The 24667-nt window shown below is 38.0% G+C and overlaps 1 long non-coding RNA gene and 1 pseudogene across 1 annotated transcript; both read right to left on the minus strand.

Moving 5' to 3' along the window:
• ACTBP8 (ACTB pseudogene 8) lies at nucleotides 280-2048 on the minus strand (annotated as a pseudogene).
• Nucleotides 4010-24598, minus strand: LOC105377884 (uncharacterized). The gene is made up of 3 exons (XR_942758.3): nucleotides 23836-24598; nucleotides 5789-5924; nucleotides 4010-4219 (listed from the first exon to the last, which is right to left on the minus strand). It is a non-coding gene; the product is annotated as an uncharacterized LOC105377884 (long non-coding RNA).
• Between the last annotated feature and the right edge of the window lie 69 nt (nucleotides 24599-24667).

Genomic DNA, 24667 nt, shown 5'->3' on the forward strand with positions numbered 1-24667 from the left:
ATTGGGGAAGAAAACAAACTTCTGATTCTATACTTGAGTCATATATTTTTGAAATATTTGTATAATACTAAAAATACTGGATTTGATTTTCTTTTGAAAAAACCTTTATTGGCTTGGATTTATTAGTATCATTACAAAAATATAGAAACTGCATGCCCCCAACCTCATTATTGTATCTCCTACAAGATAACTATTGTTAATAATTTGGGGTTTCTTCTTGCAGACTTTTTTTTTTCATGCCTATTACCATATGCAAGGAGGTTTTTTTTTCTTTTTTTTGGTATGCACTTTTATTCAACTGGTCTCAAGTTAGTGTACAGTTAAGCCCTGGCTGCCTCCACCCACTCCGAGGGAGATGAAAAGCCTTCATACATCTCAAGTTGGGTGACAAAAAAGGGGAGTCACAAAGGCTGATCATTCAAAATTAAAAAAATAAAAAAGTATTAAGGCAAAGATTAAAAGATTTTTGCATTATATAATTTACCCAAAAGCAATGCTATTACCTCCCGTGTGTGGACTCGGGAGAGGACTGGGCCATTCTCCTTAGAGAGAAGTGGGGTGGCTTTTAGGAGGCAAGGGACTTCCTGTAACAATGCATCTCACGATATTTGGAATGACCATTAAAAAAAGAACAATGTACAATCAAAGTTCTCGGCCACATTGCAGAACTTTGGGGGATGCTCGCTCCAACCAACTGCTGTCACCTTCACCGTTCCAGTTTTTAAATCCTGAGTCAAGCCAAAACAAACAAACAAACAAAAACAAAAACAAATAAAGCCATGCCAATCTCATCGTGTTTTCTGTGCAAGTTAGGTTTTGTCAAGAAAGGGTGTAATGCAACTAAGTCACAGTCAGCCTAGAAGCATTTGTGGTGGACGATGGAGGGGCCGGACTCGTCCTACTCCTGCTTGCTGATCCACATCTGCTGGAAGGTGGACGTGGAGGCCAGGATGGAGTAGCCAATCCACACGGAGTGCTTGCACTGGGGAGGAGCAATGATCTTGATCTTCATCGTGCTGGGCGCCAGGGTGGTGATCTCCTTCTGCATCCTGTCTGTGATGCCAGGGTACATGTTGGTGCCGCCAGACAGCACTGTGTTGGCGTACAGGTCTTTGTGGTTGTCCACGTCACACTTCATAATGGAGTTGAAGGTAGTGTCATGGATGCCACAGGATTCCATGCCCAGAAAGGAAGGCTGGAAGAGTGCCTCGGGGCAGCGGAACCGCTCATTGTCGATGGTGATGACCTGGTCATCTGGCAGCTCATAGCTCTTCTCCAGGGAGGAGCTGGAGGCCGCCGAGGCCATCTCCTGCTCGAATTCCAGGGCGACGTAGCACAGCTTCTCCTTGATGTCACACATGATTTCCTGCTCAGCGTGGTGGTGAAGCTGTAGCTGTGCTGGGTGAGGGTCTTCTTGAGGTAGTTAGTCAGGTCCCCGCCAGCCAGGTCCAGACGCAGGATGGCGTGGGGAGGGCGTACCCCTCCTAGATGGACAGAGTGTGGGTGACCCTGTCACCGGGGTGCATCACGATGCCAGTGGTACCTCCAGAGGCATACAGGGACAGCACGGCCTGGATGGCCACATCCATGGCTGGGGTGTTGAAGGTCTCAAACATGATGAACTGGGTCGTCTTCTCATGGTTGAGCTTGGGGTTCAGGGGGGCCTCAGTCAGCAGCACGGGGTGCTCCTCAGCAGTCACACGCACCTCGTTGTAGGTGTGGTGCCAGATCTTCTCCATGTTGTCCCAGTTCGTGACGTTGCCATGCTTGATGGGGTACTTCAGAGTCAGGATGCCTCTCTTGCTCTGGGCCTCCTTGCCCACATAGGAGTCCTTCTGACCCATGCCCACCATCACTCCCTGGTGCCTAGGGTGCCCCACAATGGAGGGGAAGACGGCCTGGGGAGCCTTGCGCATGCTGGAGCAGTTGTCGACGACGACGAGCGCGGTGATAGCATCATCCATGGTGAGCTGGCGGCGGGTGCGGACGCAAGGCGCAGCGGCAAGGACAAGGTTCTGTGCTCGCTGGGCTGACGCGGTCTCCGCGGTGTAAGGAGGTTTATATATATTTCTACAACATCTCCCCTACCGCTATAGTAACTTGCTCTTTCTTTCCTTCCTTTCTTTCTTTCTTTCTTTCTTTCTTTCTTTCTTTCTTTCTTTCTTTCTTTCTTTCTTTCTTTTTCTTTCTTTCTTTCTTTCTTTCTTTCTTTCTTTCTTTCTCTTTCTTTCTTTCTCTTTCTTTCTTTTTCTTTCTTTTTCTTCCTTCCTTCCTTTCTCTCTCTCTCTCTTTCTTTCTTTCTAACTCTCTTTGTCTCTTTCTTTCTTTCTTTTGACGGAGTTTCACTCTTGTCGCCCAGATTGGAGTGCAATGGCATGACCTCGGCTCACTGTAGCCTCCACCTCCCAGGTTCAAGCGATTATCCTGCCTCAGCCTCCCTAGGAGCTGGAATTACAGACGTGCACCACCAAGCCTGGCTAATTTTTGTATTATTAGTAGAGACGGGGTTTCACCTTGTTGGCCAGGCTGGTCTCGAACTCCTGACCTCAGGTGACCCACCTGCCTTAGGCTCCCAAAGTCCTGGGATTATAGGCATGAGCCACAGTGCCCAGCCTTCTTTTCATTTAATACTATAGTAGTGTGATCCTCTCTACCTATTACATAAAATACTTCAGGTGAACATCCTTGTACATGTGTTTCTGAAACACTTTAGCAAGCTTGTCTGCAGGATAGATTTCAGAGAGTGAGATGGCCAGGCCGGGCACATGCACTTTAAAGCATGTCAGCTATTACCTGCCTTAGCCCTGTTTCCACAGGGCTTGTGATGAGGGCTTATGCATTAGTACTTTCTGAGGAGCATGATCCCAGGGAGAGGGAATGAGAGATAAGAGTGAAGGGGGTAAGGAGGGAGAGCCAATACTAAAATGCCTTATTGAGCTGGCTGCTGCTTTTATTTTATTTTATTGCTATTTTTTTAAATAAAGTTTTCATAGTCTTTAATTGGTTATTTTGCTGGTTATTGGTTAATAAATTGACAACGCAAGGAGGGGCCATGGGTGAGCTCCCAGCCAGGCTCCCACGTCCAGGCTCAGGCAAGGATGGCTGCTGCTTTTAGTTGGCTGGTTGCTTAATCCCACAGAAACTTCCGTGAAGCCAAAGGAAATATGTCTCAAGACTGTCAGAGAAGCCATATGAAATGTATTTCAGGACCATCCATTGTGGTGAGGAGGGGAGAGTGGGAAAGGGAGAAGCCTTTATCCATCAGGTCTGTCTCCCACTTGTCAAATGTTTGCCCATGAGTTGTTCATTCTCCAGCACTCTGGTTTGCACATGTGTCGGCCCTTGAGCACGTTCCTTTGGAGTCCTTCATTGTGGGTCATCCAAGAAGCCTGGGGGTGGGGCAGGAGATAAATCCACTTGTTTTTGTGTGAAGCCCACCTAAGTCCACATTAAATCACTGTAGTCATGACTGGAATAAGACACAAGTGTTGTCAAGGAGATCTGAAGTGGTACATGAAAGATTTCAGATACACTAACAACCTGTCTCACAAAACTATACCGATTTACACTCATCAATCATGCAAAAGTGTCTTCTTTCTTTTCTTTAACAACAGTGGATCTTGTCCCTAACTTTTGCCAATATGGTGGGTAATATGGAAAGTGTTTTCTTCTGTTGTGCATTTCTGTGCTACTGAGGTTGAATATCTTTGCAAATGTTTATTAGCCTTTATATTTTGTCTTTTGTGAATTGTCTACTATATTCTTTGGCTTTTTTTCTATTAGGTGGTTCTTTAAGGCTTTTTTTTTATTAAACAGAGAAGACTACTTTCTGAAGTTCATGTTCGTGAAGTTTTGTAAGTACTCTCCTTAATAATCTAAAATATGAATATGCTGTTTTCCACTTGCCCAATTTCTAGCACTTAGTGTGAACTGAAGACAGTAGTCACATACATGTTCTTTATATTAGCAAAATTACTATTTTTTTCAGTATTAGACTCAGAGCACAATATTCCATAGGTAATAGCACATATGGTTTTTATTTAATTGTGAATGCATTTACTTACAAATGCTTTCCAGAACAAAGTCACACTTTAAGCTTGTCCTTTCCTATTTTGTTTCTTGGGATAATGATTGCATAGTCTCTTTTTTTCCTTGCAGAGAAGTATTTTATCCTATCATAGTTCAACTTCATTCTTATTTGCTACTTGTTAAATGGCTTCTGAAAGAAAACAAGGACTTTTCTGTAAACTGCTCATGATTTCACTTCAGATCTAATAGTGCAACTGCCACATACAATCTTGTCATTCAGCTATCAACCAACCAAGGTCTTCTTGGTTTTATCCCTTGTTTTACAAACCTAACTTTTGTTCTTTTCTGCTATTTCCATTGTGATTATAAAGGATTAAGTGCCTGGAGTTTCAAGGGATGTAAACTCATTGCAGTAATATTGCAGAAGATAAAAACAGAGGGAGCTACGATATGTTTTTATAATTTTGTGTGTGTGTGTGTGTGTGTGTGTAATTCCAGGTATATTATAAGATGAACCTGATTTTCTAATTATTGGTTGGAACAAAACACTAGAGTAAATAATTATACATGTACCATTTTTAAAAAGTAAGTACATTTCTAATAGCATGCCTCCTAAGTAAATCTTTCTTTGATAAATAGCATCTGTGACTATTTTGTTTTCATGGCCTAAAGAGGTTGGTTGTGACTTGGGGAAAGATGACTCTACCTCTAACTCCAGGTATCACCTTACTTGGTATAAGGGTAATTCCATCTTTCTTACCTATTTTTTGTTCAAGAATGAGCTGTGTCCTAATTCTGACTAACAAGACAAAAGGGAAGTCATGCTGAGGGACTTCCAGGAAGAATTTCTTTCTTCCTGACAGAGAGCCAGAGGGAGGAACTTTCTCTCTTTTTCTCTGTGTGCTGTCATATCTGGATATTATGCCTAATATGGCTGTAGTTAATTCACTGGCAATTTGCAGATGAAGCCAATACTGAGAATAACAGAATGGGGACATGAAAATAACCTGGGTCTTTGTTGATGTAATTGAGACATTGAATCAATCAACCCTGAAGTCTATCCTACTTCTAGATTTCCTGTGCGACAATACATCTTCTTCTTGCTGGAACCAGTTTTGAATTGGGATTCCTCTATATTACAAACCAAAGCACCTTACTAAATCAGCTTCTTTCCACACAGGGACAGAGAAGGTAGGCTCAGTCTGGAGAAATGTACAGGCACCCTTTTTCTTTTAAGGTTCAGAGAGCCCATGAACTGAATCTGGTATATCACAAAGCTTGCAGAGAATAGAGTTTTCACACTTTTTCAAGGTAAGACCACAAGACTCACACTCTGTTACTTATAGGCTATGTTACTTGGGCAAATCACTTGAAGTCTCTGAGCCCCAGTTTTGGCATGGTGTTCAGGCGTGGTGGCGTGCACCTGTAATCCCAGCTACCTGGGAGGCTGAGGTAGGAGAATTGCTGGAGCCTGGAAGGCAGAGGCTGCAGAGAGCAGAGATCGCGCCACTGCACTCCAGCCCGGGCAACAGAGCAAGACTTCATCTCAAAACACACACACACACACACACACACACACACACACACACAAAACTATTAAGTGTTTCCTCAAATCCAAGATTCTGTCAATTGTAAGGCCCTCTATTAAGAAAGAAAAAAATGCTGCCAATTAAAAATTAAACTATGCCTTAACATTGTGCATTTGTCATCTTTTGACTTTGACTTTTTTCCCCATGTATTCCAGGGGACTTGGCAATACCTCCTTCAGTTGCACTGGTTGGCATGTGATAGGCAGTCCTGTTGTATGTATCTGGGTGGGGGGAGCAGAACATAACTCAGCTTCGTCCACTTGTGGGGTCTTCCTTTCTTAAGTTCCATAAAGTGCTTGCTGGTTGCTTTGAAAATGGATGGAATTATGGTTATTTCTCCAGCAGTGAATATTTGCTTTATCAATATCAAATTTATGCCCCACTGTTTTGTTTCTATTCATTTCTCTGTATACAAAATCTTTTTATTTCAATGTCAAATTATGCTGTAATCTTTTAAAATACATTTAAAAACCACAAACTCAACATGAGCAGTAAAAACCGCACACTATCAGCAGTAAGATGTGAAATGTAAAAACTTGTGTCTTAGAATTAAAACAAGGTATTTATGAAATGACTATGGTAGAGATGAAAGAGGCAAGTAACAGGGATATAGTCAAGTTTTTCTATTGTCCACTTTTTGAGGGAGAAGATTCAACTAATTGTATAAAGATGTTTAAAATGAATATAGGTAAGTGATAGAATAAAAACAGTTTAAAGAAAGATACCATTTTTTTTTTCCTGTACTAAATTAACAAAGACTCAGAAAATGAAAAAGATTCAATTTGGTGCAGAAAAAGAGAAACAGACATTCTCATTTTCTGCAAGTATTAATTTTTATAGAAGTAAGATCTGAGGCCCGCCTTACTTTCTTTTGTGCCTGGATATCTGGCAGAATAATTTCTTTAACCTGAGTTTCTTGCTGTAATAGAAAAATACGGAAAAGTAGAGGTAATGAGGTAGAGAAAATATTAACAACTGGCACTAGGATTCTCAGGGAGAGAACAGTCTTTGGAAAGTTGCTCTGAGAGATGTTTGTAACAGAAGGTGCTCTCTACCCTCACCCCAGGAACTGGGTGTTGGCAGGCACCATGGCTTTGAAGGGAGGGAAAGCTACTCTTTGTGAGGCAAGGGGAGGGATGTTTTACTTCTAAGGGAAGGAAGAAAGTGGCAGAAGAGAGACAAGTGGGGAATAAGGGAGGAAAGCCAGCGAGATGGAAAGCTGCAAGGACGCAAGAAACTTCATGGTGGCGAGGAGAACACAGCTCTTTGAGAATGACCACGACTCTTGTTTGTCCCAAGTTATCTCCCTTTCCCCTCCACTTTCTCCAGGAAATCTTCACTAAAGTCAGCTAAACCCACCAATATTTTCTATAAATGATTTTTTTTTAATTGTAGCTTTTGAGGAAATGGGTAAAGAGCCCTAGGACATGGAAGAATTGCCACGCTGTAAACCAGGTGCCAGATGAGAGCACCCCCTGCCCCAGTCCTGCCCCAATCCCTTCCTGGAAAACCTGCAGAAACTGGTGGGGATGGCTTTGCTCTCCTGCAGGCTGTGCGTTGGGCAGGAGGGCAGTTTATTTGTTCAATACTTACTGATCATCTACTATGTGCTAGGCATCGTTCTGAGTAGCAGGAAGTAAGGAATGTAAACAAAGGATCTTAATTTCTGTGAGTCAGATCATAAGCAGAGACAGACAATAACTATGATCTAATGTTCTATTTTCACAGCTGCTATGAGGAAAAATAAGGTAGGATAAGAGAGTAGAGATTGATAGGAGTGAGAGTGAATGCCTGTTTGGGGAAGTATTTTAGGCATGGACGGCAAGTACAAAGGCCCTGTGGCAGAAACCACCTAATGTGTGTAGAGGAAAGTCTGCCAGACATTGTGCCTGACTGACGCGGGGAGGGGAGAGTGATGGGAGACAAGGCCAGAGAGGCAGGGGCCAGGTCGTGAGGGCCTCCTGGGAAGAATACAGCCATTGGGTTTTATTCTGAGAGTAATGGAGACATTTGAGGAGAGAAGCAACAGGATTTGATTTCCTGTTTCAGAAGATAACTGGTATTGTGTGGAGAAGAGGCTTAGGTGACATGGGTGGAAGCAGGAGAACCAGATGAGATGATAAAATGATGAGGCTGGCATGGATTAGGGTAAAGGCAGAGAAGGTGGTGGGAGTGGATTTATTCTGAATGAGAAATTGACAAGACTTGCAGATGGATTAGATATGAGATATGAGAGAAAGAAAAGGATAAAAATGACACCTAGGTTTGTTTGCTTATTTTTTTAAAGAAATAATTTGTGATTTAAATTATAATTTTAAGAGCAACATATGTTCACTGCAGAAAATTTAAATAATGCAGAAAAATTTAAAGAGAAAAATAAATTACTCATAATTCCAGAATTGTAGACATTTTAGTATACAACATTGTGTGTGTGTGTCTAAGTGTCTATGTGTGTGTCAGTATATATATATAAATATATATATAAATATATAAATATAAATATATATAAATATATATATAAATATATAAATAAATATATATAAATATATATATAAATATATATAAATATATATATAAATATATATATAAATATATATATAAATATATATATAAATATATATATAAATATATATAAATATATATATGGATGTACATATATATGGATGGATGGATTATCTGAATTTTCCAACTATACTTGTAGTTAGAATATATTTTGAGTATATTATTTTATAGATTGCTTTTTAGAACATTTTACTTTAAACTATTTTAGACTTACAATATTAAAAATAATTGCAAAATACTAGAGTTCCCATATTTCTAGTTCCCATTTCACCTAGCTTTTCAGAACATTAACATCTTACATACTACAATGATCAAAACTAGGAAATTAACACTAGTATAATGCTACTAGCTACACTACAGGTCTTACTCAAATTTCATCAGTGTTTTCCACTAATGTCCTTTTTTTCTGTTCCAGGATTCCACATTGATTTTATTGTTATTTTTCCTTAGTCTTCTCCCATCTGTGAGAGTTCCTGTTTTTCCTTGTGCATGGCACTTGAAGAGTATTGATCAGTTTTTTTTGTAGATGTTACTTGATTTGGGGTTTATATTTTCCCATAATTGAAATGAGGTTGTGCGTTTCTGGCACAAATGCTGCTGTGTCCTTCTCAGCACACATCGTAGGTTCATCATATTGATACAATATTGATATGATATCCATGATGTTGAATTTGAACACATGGTGAAAGTGGTGTCTTCTGGCTTTCTCTACTATAAAGTCACTATTCTCCCCTTTGTAGTTAAAATATATCTTAGGGGTGACAGTTTGAGACTATGCAAATACTGTTTCTCCTCAAATTTTCACCCAGCAATTTTAGATTCTGTCAGTGGATTATGTCTGCAAAAATTATTACTGTGGTGTTTACTAATTTGTGGTGATTTTCTATGTCTCCTGTGATTTTCTGTTCTCTTACTTTCTGCTATATTTATTAATTGAAATTATTCTGTAAGGAAGAGCTCTTCCTTTCCCCCCGTTTATGTATTCATTTGATTATTCCTTTAAATCTGTATAGATTCATGGATATTTATTTTATTATAGGGGTTAAAATCCAATACTGTCATTATTTTCACCACATTTATTGAGGTATAACTGACAAAAAAAATCATGTGTATTCTAGGTGTACAACATTATGTTTTGATACATGTATACATTGTGAAATGATTACCACAATCAAGCTACTTAACATATCCATCACCTCACATAGTTACCATATGGTGTGTGTGTGTGTTTGTGTGTGTGTGTGGTGAGATTACTTAAGATCTACTTTCTTAGCAAATTTCAAGTATACAATGCATTATTATTAACTATAGTCACCATCTCCTACATTAGCTCTCCAGGACTTATTCATATTATAACAGAGAGTTTGCACCCTCTGACCAAAATCCTCCCATTTCTCCCAATTCCCATCCCCTGGCAATTATCAATCTATTATTGGTTTCAATGAATTAGACTATTTTTGGATTCCTCCCACATGTGGTAGCATGTAGTATTTGTCCTTTTGTGCCTGATTTTTCATTTAGCATAGTGTCCTCTAGGGTCATCCACGTTGCCACATGTGGCAGGATTTTATTATTTTTTAAGCCTAAATAATATTCCATTGTATCTTCTTTACCCATTCATCCTTCAAGAGATACTTAGGTTGTTCCCATATCTGGCTGTGGTGAATAATGCTGCAATGAACATGTGGTTGTACATATCTCTTTGGGATAGTGATTGTATTTTCTTTGTGGGACAGTGATTGTATTTTCTTTGTATCTACACACCTAGAAGCGGGATTGCTGGATCATATAGTAACCCTATTTTAAATTTTTGTGAGACACCTCCATGCAGTTTTCCACAGTGGTTGTACCAATTTGCATTCCCACTAATAGTGTATAAGGGTTTTCTTTTCTCCACACACAAAATATAACACTTGTTATTTCTTTACTTTTTAGCAATAGCCATTTTAACAGATGTGAAATGACAAATTATTGTGGTTTTGATTGGCCTTTCTCTGATGATTAATGATATTTCACACTTTTTTATATACTTGTTAGGTATTTGTATATACTTTTTCAAAAAATGTCTATTCAAGTCCTTTGGACATTTTAAAATCAAGTCTTTTTTTTTTTTTTTTTTTTTTGCTATTGGGTTGTATGGGTCCCTTAATGGACATGTGGTTTGCAAATATTTTCTCTCATTCTATAGGTTGCCTTCTGCTTTGCTATGCAGAAGCTTTTAAGTTTGATGTAGTCCCACTTGTTTATTTTTGCTTTTGATGCCTGTGCTTCTGGTATCATATCTAAAAAATTATAGGCCAGGCACGGTGGTCATGCCTGTAACCCCAACACTTTGGGAGGCTATGGTGGGAGGATTGCTTGAGGCCAGGAGTTTGAGACCAGCCTTGGGAACATAGGGAGACTCTCTCTACCAAAAAAAAAAAAAAAAAAAAAAGACTTTTTAAAATTAGCTGGGTGTGGTGGCACAGTCCTTAGTCCCAGGTCTTCAGGAGGCTGAGGGTTGATATATATCTCTCTACATATATTTTTATTTTGATCATTTAACCACTTTATGTCACTTGATGGGAGAATTTGTTTACATTTAAACTAATTGTTGATAGGTAAGGATTTATCGCTACCATATACTAACTGTTTTTTAGTTGTTTTATAGATTCTTTGTTTCTTTATACCTCTCTTGCAGTCTTTCTGTGTGGTTTATTCATTTCTATAGTGATATATTTTGATTCTATTTAACTTTTGTGTATCTACTGTAGGTTTTTGCTTTGTGCTTTCCCTGAGGCTTGCTTAAAACATCTTATAGTTATAACAGACCATTTTAAACTGATAACAATTTTGATTGCATACAAAAACTCTACACTTTTATTCCTCCCATTTTATGTTTTTGATGTCACAATTTACCTCTTTGTATATTGTATATTCATTAAAAATTATTTTAGTTATAGTTATTTTTAATACTTTCATCTTTTATACTGGAGTTATAAAGTATTTACAAACCTCTATTACAGTATTAGAGTATTCTAAATTTGACTATATATTTACCTTAACAATGAGTTTTATGCTTTCAAATGTTTTCATGCTACTAGTTAGAATCCTTTTGTTTCACTCTGAAGAATTTTCTTTACAATTTCTCGTAAGGTATTTATGAAGGATAGATTTGCTGGGTAAAGTATTCTTTGTTGGTGTTTATTTTTCTTTCAGCACTTTGAATATATCATCTGACTCTTTTCTGTCCTGGAAAGTTTCTACTGGGAAATCCACTGGTAGCCTTATGGAGGTTCCCACGTATGTGCTGTTTTCAAATTTTTCTTTGTCTGATTTTTGAAAGTTATTGTAATGTCTCAATGAAACCTTCTTTGGATTAAACCTGTTTGGAAGCTTCAAGCTTCATTTACCTGGAAGTCCCTGTCTCTCCCCAGGTTTGGGAAGTTTTCAATCACTATTTCTTTAAATAAGCTTCCTTCTCATTTCTCTTTTTTCTCCCTCTCTCAAATTCCCATAATACAAATGCTAGCTCTCATACTGATGTCCCATAAATTCCATAGGCTTTATTCACTTTTTGATTGTTTATTTTTCTCTTCTGTATAACTCTGAATAACCTGTCTTTGAGTTCACAGATTTTTTTTTCTTCTTGATCAAGTACGTTGTTGACAGTTTCTGTTGCATTAAAAACTTTTCACTCATTGTATTCTTCAGCTCTAGAATTTCTGTTGTGTTCTTTTTTATGATTTCTATTTCTTTGTTGAGCTTCTCATTTTGTTCATGTATTGGTTTTCTGATTGTGTTATCTCTGTTCTTTTGTAGTTTGCTGAGTTTCCTTAAAACAATTGTTTTGAATTATTTGTCAGGCAATTCATAGCTCTCTATTTCTTTGAGGTTATTTACTGGAATATTAATTGTGATCCTTTGGTAGTGCCATGTTTCCTTGATTTTTTAGGTTGCTTGAAGTCTTGTGTTGCTGTCTTCACATTTGAAGAAATAGTCACTTCCTTCAGTCTTTATTTACTGGCTTTAGGAGAGAAACACCCTTATCAATCAGCCTATCTAGGGATTCTCAGGCTCTCTCAGACTTCTGTGAACGTGCCCACTATGCACATTCTATTCCTTCGTTAAGGAAAAGTCTCAGGATTGTATGCATTCATTCACTTGATCCCACAAAGCCAGGCTAGGTGCTGAGTTGCTACTGTTTGTTTTTTCTAGGGCAGTGCCCTGAAATGCTGAAGTTTATATGCCTTCTCTCAATCTGACAGAGTTGATTCAGCTGTCTTCACAAGACACTTACACTGTCTAAGGGAACATGCTCAGGACGCAGGCCTGAAGGTAATGAAACATGCAGAACTTTTGGAATTTCTGTGGACCAGTTAGGGGAGGGCCCACAGGCAAGTTGTCCCAAGCTGCTTGTAAGCAGGCTTCCTAATGAAGCCACAGAGCAGTTAATAGGGTCCAAGACCTTTCTTACCTGTTCCCAGCCTCTTCCAGCTTCTCAGTTGTGCTGATTACCTTAGTAACCTGGGTAAGGTCAGGAAAAATGTGGGCTTCTTTGGCAGCATTCTGCACAGCTGGGGAAGCTGGACACTCACTATGGTATCATCTCCCCTTGTGAGAAAAATCTTGATCCTAGGGGATTTCTCTTGGCACTGAGCTGGACTGCCTTGGGGGAGGGATAATCTGCATAAGTGATACTTATGTTTTTACACCCTCCAAAGCATTTATTCTCAAATTATTTGTCCAATGATGTGCTGAAAGCTTTCCACTGTATTCACAGACTCCCACAGAGCTAGACTCATCCATAAGTAGTTGCCAAAATCTATGCTTCTGCAGGAGAATAATGATATTCTCCTTGGCCATCTTGCTGATTCACTCTATTATTATGTATTTAATTGCTCAAATTATTCCAGCTCTGGCTATTAGGAGCTCCTTTAGGTTGGCTAGAGTATTTTTCAAAGTCCTTAGACTTCTCTTTAAGATTATGAAATATTAGACATATAATTAACAATATACATAATATTTATAATATAAAAAACAGTATGATGAAAGTAAGTGTACCTAACTCCTCAATATTTTAACCTTAGTAATTGAGTGAAGATACAGGAAAATGAGAGAAAAGAAATGAAAAGAAAAATCAGTAGTTTTGTTTCAGATATGTTAAGTTTGAGTTGCTTATTAGATACCAGTTAAGGGTGCTAAAGAGAGGGTTGGACATATAAGTCTGGAGCTCAGGGTGGTGGTAAAGGCTAGTCGATAAAACCTGAGGGGGTTTAGGCTGACATCTATGTTTCAGAAAGAAGAAAAATATCATGCACAATCCCACCACTCAAAGATAAATTCTGTTAACTAACATTTTTAAGTAGCTCCCTCCAACGCATGTTTTTATATGGCTAAGATATACTGTATGCACAATATCACATTCTTTTTTCTCACTTAACATTGTAGTAGAAACATTTCCAATTTGTTATTAATATCCAAACATATTCACATGCCATAATTTATTCTTAGCATTACAAAAATTTACACCTATATGTCTTGGTTTTAGATTCTTTTCTCTGAATTTTCTTGTCCTAAGAAAAGCTAAGAGGAGCTCTTCTGACTTTTATAGTCAATATCCTAGTGCTCACCAACCAATTTCTAAGGTTAATTTCAAAGTAAGCTACAAGTTACATCTACCCATTTCAAGGAGTCTGTGGTTTTTTAAAGAGCAATACCAACTTCTAATGAGCATTTAACTCCACAATATGCTGCTTCCATAGAAATACAATAAAAGAAAAATCAGGCATCCATCCTGATGGGAGAAAAAAGTTACATAACCCTAATGTATCAGGGACTTATTCCCTTTGAAAATCTTAAATTTTTGTCCTGTGGAACTCAAATCATAAATTTTGAAAATCAAACAGCAACGATAGACTATAACAGCCACAAAACCTAAAATAATTCATCCAAAAATCCAGACTGGAAGATGAAATGACACTCTTCGGAAAGCAACTGCTTTTATTCAAGAGCTCTGACAGTTGAGAAACAAGATCAAATCAATAAGATACAGAAGTGTAGTAATCATGCATGCTGTTTAAACACCCAGAAGATAGCTCTTGATTTTCTGTGAAAATTAAGGAGAGGTGGGCCAGTCCACCTGTTAGTAAAAAATGTTATTTAAGTATTTCTGAAGATCTTTTATCCCAAGTGCCTCTGCTTCTGCCTCAACTCTGTGCCTTAAATGTTCCCAAAACGGACAGCCAGGCGCGGTGGCTCACGCCTGTAATCCCAGCACTTTGGGAGGCCAAAGCAGGCAGCTCACGAGGTCAGGAGTTCAAGACCAGTCTGGCCAACACAGTGAAACCCCGTCACTACTAAAAATACAAAAAAAGTTAGCCGGGCATGGTGGTGTGTGCCTGTAATCCCAGCTACTCGAGAGGCTGAGGCAGGAGAATTGCGTGAACCCAGGAGGCAGAGGTTGCAGTGAGCTGAGATCGCGCCACTGCACTCCAGTCTGGGTGACAGAACGAGACTTCATCTCAAAAAAAAAAAAAAAGAAAGAAAGAAAATGTTCCCAAAATGTTAATGATCCTACTTAAAGTTCTTAAGGCTTCTGTTTAAATGCAATTATATAGAAAAAATTTAAAAATTTTCTAACTCCATTCCATACTCCTTTCCAGTTATTCCCTAGCAAGGATAACAATGTAGGAATCAAAAATGTTCTTCCTGGGCTGGCCACAGTGGCTTACGCCTGTAATTTCAGCACTTTGGGAGACCGAGGCAGGAGGATCACTTGAGCCCAGGAGTTTGAGATCAGCCTTGGCAACATGGCAAGACCCCATCTCTATAAAATTTTTTCTTAAAAATTAGCCAGGCATGGTGATGTGTGCCTGTAGTCAGGTGGGATGATCGCTTGAGATCATGAGGTTGAGGCTGCAGTGAGCCGTGATTGGACCACTGCACTCCACCTTGGGTGATAGAGTGAGACCCTGTCTCAAAAATAAAAAAATTAAAAAAAAGAAAGAAAAAGAAAAAAATTTTTTTTTCCTTTAACTTTTTAATTTATTGCTGGTCATTCATTTAGCAAGGACCTGAAGGAATGAAGCCCTAAAGAGAAAAATTTACATGTAAAAAAACTTATCTATTTTGATTTTGATTATTTTATCCATGATGTGGTTAAAAAACAATCAACAGTGCAGAAAGGCTTGGACTGAGAAGAGCAGCTAAATTTTGACTGAGATCTTTGGAGAAATGTGTGGCACATCCAGAAGACAGCTGAGTGTCCTGTGGCACGTGAGAAAACAGTAAAAGGCAGTAAATAGGGAAGACACGTTACAGTCAAATTTCACTTACTTAGTCACTTTGCCTAAATCTAGCTCTAAAAGAGAGAGAAACAAGGGAAGTTAATTTGTTGCTGTTTTATCTATTTAGTTCAGTCTTCCCTAATTAGGTCTGTAAAGTATTGTTTCACTTCTTCTATTACTCTCAGGTCAATGTACTAATCTGCAGCAAATTTATCATAAGGCAGCTAGGCAGGCCAGGAGCAGAAGAATGCCCATGGTTACTCAGTGGAAACAGGTGGTGCTCTAATTCCTTTGCCAGGGTAGTTTCACAGAGGTTCAAGGGGCAGCTGAGCCTTCATTCTCACCTAGTATCAATGAAAGGGAACAAGGTAGCATAAGATGGAGATAATTTGCACTATACTCTTTTTCAGCAGAGTCAGCCAGGCACAATGAGGAGTTGAGCTTCATCCCCTACTCCAAGATGGAAAGAGAACAGAATAGTTGGTACTCTGATTCCTCTGGAAAGAATTGGCACAGCATTTTTCAAGTGCTGAAAGAAAATAACAAGTAACCATAAATGCTATACCCAGCAAAAATATCCTTCAGAGATGAAGGGAAAATCAAGGCATTTTCAGAGAAAGGAAAACAAAGAGCATGTGTTGCCAGCAGGCTTGCCCTTAAAGAGTGGCTAAAGGAATTTCTCTAAACAGAAAATAACAGATGGAGACTGTGACTTGGGAAAGAAATAACAATGAAATAGACAAAATAGATGTAAATACAATAAACTACCCTTCTCCTCATGAGATTTTTCAAATTATGTTTAATAATTGAAGAAAAAATTGTAACATTTGATGTGGTACTTATATATGTATAAAAAATACTTAAGACATATTTTTTAAGCAGGGAAGGTAAAAAGACCTACATGAAAGTAAGGTTGCACACTTTGCTTGTAGTGGCAAAATACCAGTTTACTGTGATGTGTTACATATGTATATTGTAATACTTAGAGCAACCTCTAAAAAACTATAAAAACAAATATATACAAAAGCACCACATATCAAAATGTAAGTCAAAAAATTTTCAAGTAATTCACTAGAAGGCAGAGGAACAAGATTCAGAATGAATAAACAGAAAATAAATAATAAAATGACATACTGAAATCCTAAAATATCAATAATTACTTTAAATGTGCATGATCTAATATGCCAATGAAAACAAAGTTGGGTAGTGTTTTTTTTTATTCATATGGGATAAAAAATAATGCAGATTTTTAAAACATGACCCAACTATACCCTGCCTATGTGAAATTCACTTCAAAGTGAATACATGGGTTATTTGAAAGTAAAAGAATAAAAAACAATATATCACGCAAAGTAATAAAAAAGCAGCAGGAGTGTCTATATTAATATTAGATAAAGTCGATTTTAGAGTGAAGGAAATTAGTAGGAGCAAGGAATATATATAATAATGAAAAGATTAACCCACCATGAAGACTTGTAAACACTAAATATGTATTCACCAACAACAAAGCTTCAAAATATAGGAAGAAAAAACTGATAGAGATGAAAGAAAAGCACACGTGGCACATGAATGGCTGTTATTTGAATTTTTATCCTCATTAGAAAATAATGCAGTAATGATAAATTGCAATGTCATCTCTGGCCATGGAAGACTTAACAAGACTTCAGCTTCCTCATCTGTAGAGTTAGACAGCAATTATGATTTGGACTTGACAAGAAATGGAATATGCTAACCCTAAGTGTTGCCCAGTCATTTCCCATGGTCATACCAGATACTGCCAATTTTTACCTTTTATTTATTTGCCAATAATTTATGGATTACCTACTTTATGGTAGTAGTGATGCAGTGGTGCCTAAGGACATGGGATAAGTTCGATGGAAGCATATAACAGTAGGAACAAAACAAAGAGATAAAGAGGATACTATAAATTAACCACAGAATATGCGAGAAATGCCTGAGGGCCAGATGGCATTAAGAATGAAGTATATGGAAGAAATGCCCACCTAGAACCCAGAGATACTCTGGTAGCTGAGGAAAATAGATTGCAGGCAAGCTTTTGAGTTCTGTTCCTTTTTATATTGCATATGACCTGGAGTGGGTCCCAGCTCCATCACTTCTGTGAAAGAGCCAGCAACAGCAGCAGCAGTTCAAATCATTTAGTGCTGGAGTGGAGGGGGACTTACATCATTTCTGACTGCTTCAGGTGAGGAACTGATGGTAAAAGTTATCTGTAGGACATCCAGCATTGTCATATCCTCCTCCATATCATCTGTGCTAGCCGATTACAATCAAAGGAGTTGACCACCTAACAGTGTGCTCTTTTTTCCTATAAGGCATTTTATGAAAGACATGGTTGCTAAGTAAGATAGTACCCAATATGAGTTCTTACTACCTAAAGCTCTTTCTCTGGAAGTATATCCATTCCTTCCTTCTTATCCTTAAAAGGAGAGACACAGGCTAGGGCTTGGACTATACCAACAATGACATATACTGAGACACGTTACTCAGAAGATTAGCTGATGTCACCAGAGGAAGGAAGGAAAAGTTCATGAACAAAAATAATTAAACACTGGAAGAGTATAGCCAATATAAAAAGGAAAAATAGTATAGTGAGTAGATGCTTCCGTAACAAATAAAATAATAAAACAGGACGATCAGTAATTTAAACGAAACATCATTTTTATCTTCAAAAAGATAAGGAACAATTTTGGTAATCAATTGGTAATCAGTTTGGACAATGACATACTGAAGTCATGTCCAAATTGATGTATAAAATAGAGAAATTTATGACAAGAAGTCATAAAGATGAACATAAAAATATTAAATATGAAAAAATTAATAGATAAAATTAGAAAGACAATAGATGAGCTAAATAGCATTATGATTACAATTGGTGCCAAATGATCAGATTGAAGAACTAACCCTAGAAGACAGCAGAGAGATGCAAAATGGATGGTTTTTTATGTTAAAGGGATATAGAAGATAGAAGTAGAAATACCAATAGCCAATTTAAAGAAGTCTCAAAAGGAAGAACGATAAAGAAAAACACAAACAAGAGGGAGAAAATAGACAGTGATAAACCTGTCAGAAATAAAGATGGAAATCTCAAATTGGAAGTTTCCATAGAATTTCAAACAGGATAAAGATATACCCATAACTAGCCTCATTACAATAAAATTTGACACTCTCACTTTAGAGTTAAGTTTAGTAATACCTAAAAGCTTCCAGAAAGAGTAGATCACTTCGAAAAGAACAAGAATTGGATGGATACCTGACTTCTCGACAGCAACACTGAATATGAGAGGACAATGAACAAATATTTTAAAAATATTAATGAGAAAGAACTTTGAACCTAGAATTAATATTTAGCCTGACTATCATTTAAATGCAAGAATAAATAAAAAAGTTATCAGGCATATCAGGCATAAAGCTTCAAACATTGCTACATAAAAACTTTCTTCGAAAACATTCCTTTTTTTTTTTTTTTTTTCTGTCACCCAGGGCCACGATCTCAACTCACTGCAACCTCAACCTCCTGGGTTCAAGTGATTCTCATGCCTCAGCCTCCTGAGTAGCTGGGATTACTGGTGCCTGCCACCATGCCCAGCTAACTTTTGTATTTTTATTAGGGACAGGGTTTCACTATGTTGGCCAGGCTGGAACTCCTAACCTGAGGTGATCCATCTCCCTTGGGCTCCCAAAGTGCTGGGATAACAGGCGTGAGCCACCGTGCCCGGCCTGAAAATACTCTTGAGGAACTACATGAATAAGAAGAGAAATAAATTTAAAAAGATGCTATAAGAGACATGGGGCTCAAAGGGATCAAGTAACTTAGAAAATATATTGTTTTAAACAGAAAGGATCAAATCAGAAAAATAAAAAATACAACACAAATGAACAAAAAAAGAAAAGAAAAAGAATGTGCATAACCCAGAACTTGCATTTTACATGATAACATCTGGGAATTGGAGTTAACGGAGACGACAAAGAAGATGATAATGTGCTAAAGCACTTATCCTGCTTGGGGACAGAGATATGATTGATTGATAGATAGATAGGTAGATAGATAGAGTGAATGATACAATTAAGAAATTAAGATAAATCTTACATAGGCACAAATGTCAGAATGACAAAATGAAATGTATAAACTTTCAACCCAAAAGAATGAAAGCGGAACTATCCAGTGGCAGGCTTCAGGAATGGAGAAAATAATAACATATAGTTAATATAAAATATGAAGTAAAGTCATAAGAAATAAACATTATAATTATAATTAAATAAACACAAATATGTTAAGCTCATTCTGAAACAGTGACTCTCAGATTGGATTTAAAAATAAAATCCAGTAATACACTGTCTATAAGAGATGTACTTTTATAAAAAGAACATAGAAAAGTTGAAAATAAAAGGATGTGAAAGATACACCTAGCAATTATGAAAGCTAGCAAGTTTCGTATGTGATGAAATAGAATTCAAGAGAAATATAAACCATAAGGAACAAAAAGAAACATCATCTTGACACAAAAAACAATATGTTGTGGGAGGTAATGAAATTGAGATAAGAAATATAGCTAAGTTACAAAATTTGGATATAAAAGGAAGGGAAAGACTGGATGGTAGCTGATGAGAGAAATGGGATTGTGGAGCGTATTTTTAGTATATACTAGTAGAGTTCTTGAGAAGGTGGTAGGACCTGAGATGCAGAACATAGGAAGAGAAACAATAGTCCCACAGTAAAACGAAAGAGGGGAAGACGAGGCACATGCAGGTGGGCCTACAGATTTCGTGGTGGAACAACAAGGCCCTTCTGTTTTGTTGACCCAGGGTGGGACCTTACATGGTTTTCAGCCCTGTATTTAGTTTGCAGACAGATGAAACTGTTATCAGAAAGAGGTCGAGATCCAGACCCCAAGAGAGGGTTCTTGGATCTTGCACAAGAAATAATTCAGGGCCAGTCCATAAAGTGAAAGCAAGTTTATTAAGAAAGTAAAGGAATAAAAGTAAACCCCGAGGGCTGCTGGTTTCCCATTTTTATGGTTAGTTCTTGATTATATGCTAAACAAGGGGTGGATTATTCATGCCTCCCCTTTGTAGTCCACATAGGGTAACTTCCCGATGTTGCCCTGGCATTTGTAAACTGTCATAGCACTGGTGGGAGTGTAGCAGTGAGGACGACCAGAGGTCACTCTTGTGGCCATCTTGGTTTTTGTGGGTTTTGGCTGCCTTCTTTACTACAACCTATTTTATCAGCAAGGTCTTTATGACCTGTATCTTGTGATATCCTCCTATCTCATCCTATGACTTAGAATGCCTTAACCATCTGGGAGTGCAACCCAGTATGTCTCAGCCTCATTTTACCTAGCCCCTATTCAAGATGGAGTTGCTCCGGTTCAAATGCCTCTGACAAAACTTGTGTCATCTTTCATACATCTAAGATGTTGAAAGATGATCTCTATGCATCTAAATTACTCCTGCACTGAACAACAAGCAAAAGAAGAAAAAACAAAATTTCACATTCCACAACCAAAATGCTTATCACATCTCAATAAGCACACAAAGCTTGATTTTTATTTCTTATTTGTATAATATGTACATTTTTTCATAATGCTGGTCTCTCTGATATGTTTAAAGACATAAAAACTAAGTGTATAAAATTCAGGCTAAGTTAAGAAGTATAAAATATATACAATTCAGATTTCCAATCCAGTTTTCAAATCCCAGAGATGCAGCTAAGCTTTGAAAGTTTAGATGTGCGTCTGAACTAAGCCTTTGAAACTTCTGTTGTTTGCCATCTCTGATGGAAATGTCTGCTTCAGGAATGTGCCTTTATTACACTGAGAATGAAAACCATCAGTTACAGTAAGTGGCCTGATGTCTTCATGAGGGACTTCAAAATACATGAAAGAAAATCTTGCCCACTGAACCACAGTAATGGTGTGTCCAGTACCAGTGCACAACAAGGGTCAGAGAAAGGGAAAGCTTGAGTCTGGCTTCTCTGGTCTAAGAAAATAATGGAGACTTTTTTTTCCTGGAAACAAAAAACTGGTGCAACATGTGCCTGGAGAAGAGAACAAAGGTTGCTATTTTTTTCTTAATGACAGCTCTGGGTTCTGAAATTGAGCACGGCAGGTAGGAAGAGCGTGTATAGATTTCAAAAGATATCTAAATGTTACACAGCCACTTTCCTTATGAACAAGCAGCACCAAATGTGTTAGCAGTTTTCTTTGTTTTTTTTAACCAAAAACAAGACATTCTGACAAAAAAACAAAACAAAACAAAAAAAACCGCCTGCTATTCTTGCCTCTCTCTGCCTTGACTTCACTGTCAGAAAGGAGAGATTTGTCCATGATGGAAGTTGGGGGCCGTGAAGGGCTAACCTGTCCATTCTGATGACTTCCCACTTTCAATTAATTCCCAGCCTCAGGGGATGCCTCTCTCTTCTCCTCTCTTTGTTTTTATAATTGTCATTACTGTTTGCTAAATGTCTCCCTGCATGCTCTTTACTTCAATACACTGTTTCAGGACAATTATGGATTCCTCTACTCCAGGACATTTCACAAATAAATCATGGAGATTGAGAAGTCTGTCTCCCATGCCTGATGCTATTTTATGCATTTACAAGAAACTCTAAAGGGAGATTTTTTTTTAAAGCATTGATCGAATGTGCAAAGTATAACAAAAAGATAGGTAATATTTTTAAAAGGTATTTGTGACAAGGCAATTTGATCAGCCTAAATTAAAGATTAGATGTCGGAAAAAAAAGGAATTTGTAAAAGTAGGTACAGAATAGTTCAAGGAGGATGTGAAAGTCTCAATTACTGCTTGATAATAAAAACCAGAGGCTAGACCCCAGCCGTGCATCAAAAGACTGCATTGATAGCTGATGAAAAAACAAAGATGAATATTCAATGTGATGTCATTATGATTGGAAATGTAAATGTGTCTCCAAAAGGCATAATTCCAGTCATTAGGCATCTAAGAAAAGATCCTTTCCTTGACTTATTTATGGCTAAATTCACAGATAGATGACAAGTTTTGTAGGATGGAAGAAACATGTCAAATGCCTTGCCAAAAGACTTAGAGGGGAGGGGTTGTGAGTGGTAAAGGAATGAAACCCTTCAAGGTTAGGATAATAAAGCAAATCATTCTGTTGTGAAAATACATAAAAGGAGGTTTCTAAATGAGGATGGATTAATTTTGCCCCCAGTAGATGAAATTAGATCATGAAAACTTCTGTTTAGATAAGAGTGAGGTGAGTAACAATGAAAATATGAGGAAATAGAAAGAAGTAGAATGAAGTAGCTACTCAAATCACTGAAATAGAGGAATGAAAAGGACCAGTCGTTTCTACCACAGCTTGATAGCCACATTTGTGCAATGGTCTCTTGCTATTACAGTTAGCATCCCTCCCTCACCCACCCCCAAAAAGAGTAGGAGGGAAATCTGAATACCCAAGACATTTTTACAATCCCTGACAATTTTATGACCTTTGCATGCACAGCATTACTTATTTTTCTCTGCATTACATTGAGAAACTCTGGTCATGTTCAGTTGAATTTCTAACCTGAAGTCTGTGTCCTCAGAAATGTGGAGATCATTATTCTGGGCTGGCTGTCTTTGGCTGTGTTGGTATTATCTACATCTAAAAACAAAATTGGCATGGAAGTGGGAATAGAAAGAATGAGAAAAGAGGAGGCGAGAGGGTGGCTCAACAGTTGAGACAGGTTTTCAAGAGTAAACCTCAAAAGGGCTTCTGGCCAGCAGGGTCAGGAGCAAACTTTTCTTATAGCCTGAGGCTTTTTTAAAGGGCCCGGTGGGGAATTGTGCTTTGAAGCAAGATTCTATTAGGGAGGGTTTGGAGAAGTGCTGGCTGTTCTGTTAGGGCCATTATGCTCTGTTGAAGCTATGGGCAGGGGTGACATTCGGGGTTCTGGCCAGGTGGCCAAATAGAAACTCAAAGCTTAAGACGGTGGGGTGTTCTGAAGATGGCGGCACTCTTGTCCTATCAGTTTGAAATGGTTTACAGTGGAAAAGCAATGGGACGAGTGTTATCCGATCTCTATATAACCATCTAGCATAATTTGGCCTCCTGTATGTTACCCTATTTTCTTCTTTGTCTGTAAGCTTTCTCAGATGAGGTGAACAGATGGTATATTGGGAGACAGGCTGAAATGAATGGAAAAAAAAGTGCATAGTACTTCAGTAGAAGGTGAAAAAGATGAGACCAAAGTGGACCCGATTCCCAGCCTCCCAGAGATCGTATTGGCGGCATCTGTTTGTTTTTAAATCAATTTTCTTCTTATTTCTTCCTCAATAAGACTTTGCTGAATGTTTTCACTTTAGTGTTTAAGTGAAAAAAATAGCACGTGGTTTATCTGGTGCCTTACCTTAATGAAAAAATACTGCCTTTAATATTTCCTCTGTGTTAACTGACTGGCTTAGCTCTTGATGTGATGAAAACAGATTATCCGAAGACCCATTCCACTAAAAGCAGATTCTGTTGATGGCGCGTCCATCCTAATGATTCAGGAGCTCAGTTTGCCTCCAGCAGAGAAACACCCAAAACAAGAAGGAAAAAAAAAGATAGTGGGAATGAGAATACAATTGTGGTTGCTACTTAATGGTTGAGATTTCTTATAACACTATCACAGGAAAACTGCTTGCCAGGGTTATGACAGTAATATCAAGATTTAGCTTAAGACTAAAAAATTACAATAATTTCTCTTCTTCCCTCCTGTTACTCCAACCTAGGAAGCCAGCTAAGTAAACACTATCGTTGTAAAGCAGATGGAACCTTTCCAAGGAGAGAAAAGCTATAGAGATGACTGAAAAAAAAAAAATCAAGGTGCAGGCACCACACAAGGGCAGGGCTGTAGTTTCAGCAGAGGAAACATTTGCTTATTATACTCATGGAACTAAAGATGCCTTGTGCTCACAGGCTGGCCTTTGGTATCCTATCTTAACACGATGCAATTATAAACTGTGCATAAAACTGTGATTATGACCCTAAAAATGGGTCTATCTTCCTAATGTCACCCATCAATTGTACAATGCCAGAAATCTCTCCAGTAACTGGTCTTGTTCAGCACTGAATTATTTTTCTATGATTCATTTGACACTTAACATTAGTTTCCTAGGGCTGCCATCACAAAGTACCACAAACTGGTGGCTTCAACAACAGAAATTTATTGTCTCAAAGTTCTGGAAGCTAGAAGTCTC

The sequence above is a fragment of the Homo sapiens genome, chromosome 6 (assembly GCF_000001405.40).
Source record: "Homo sapiens chromosome 6, GRCh38.p14 Primary Assembly".
NCBI classification, from domain to species: Eukaryota; Metazoa; Chordata; class Mammalia; order Primates; family Hominidae; genus Homo; species Homo sapiens.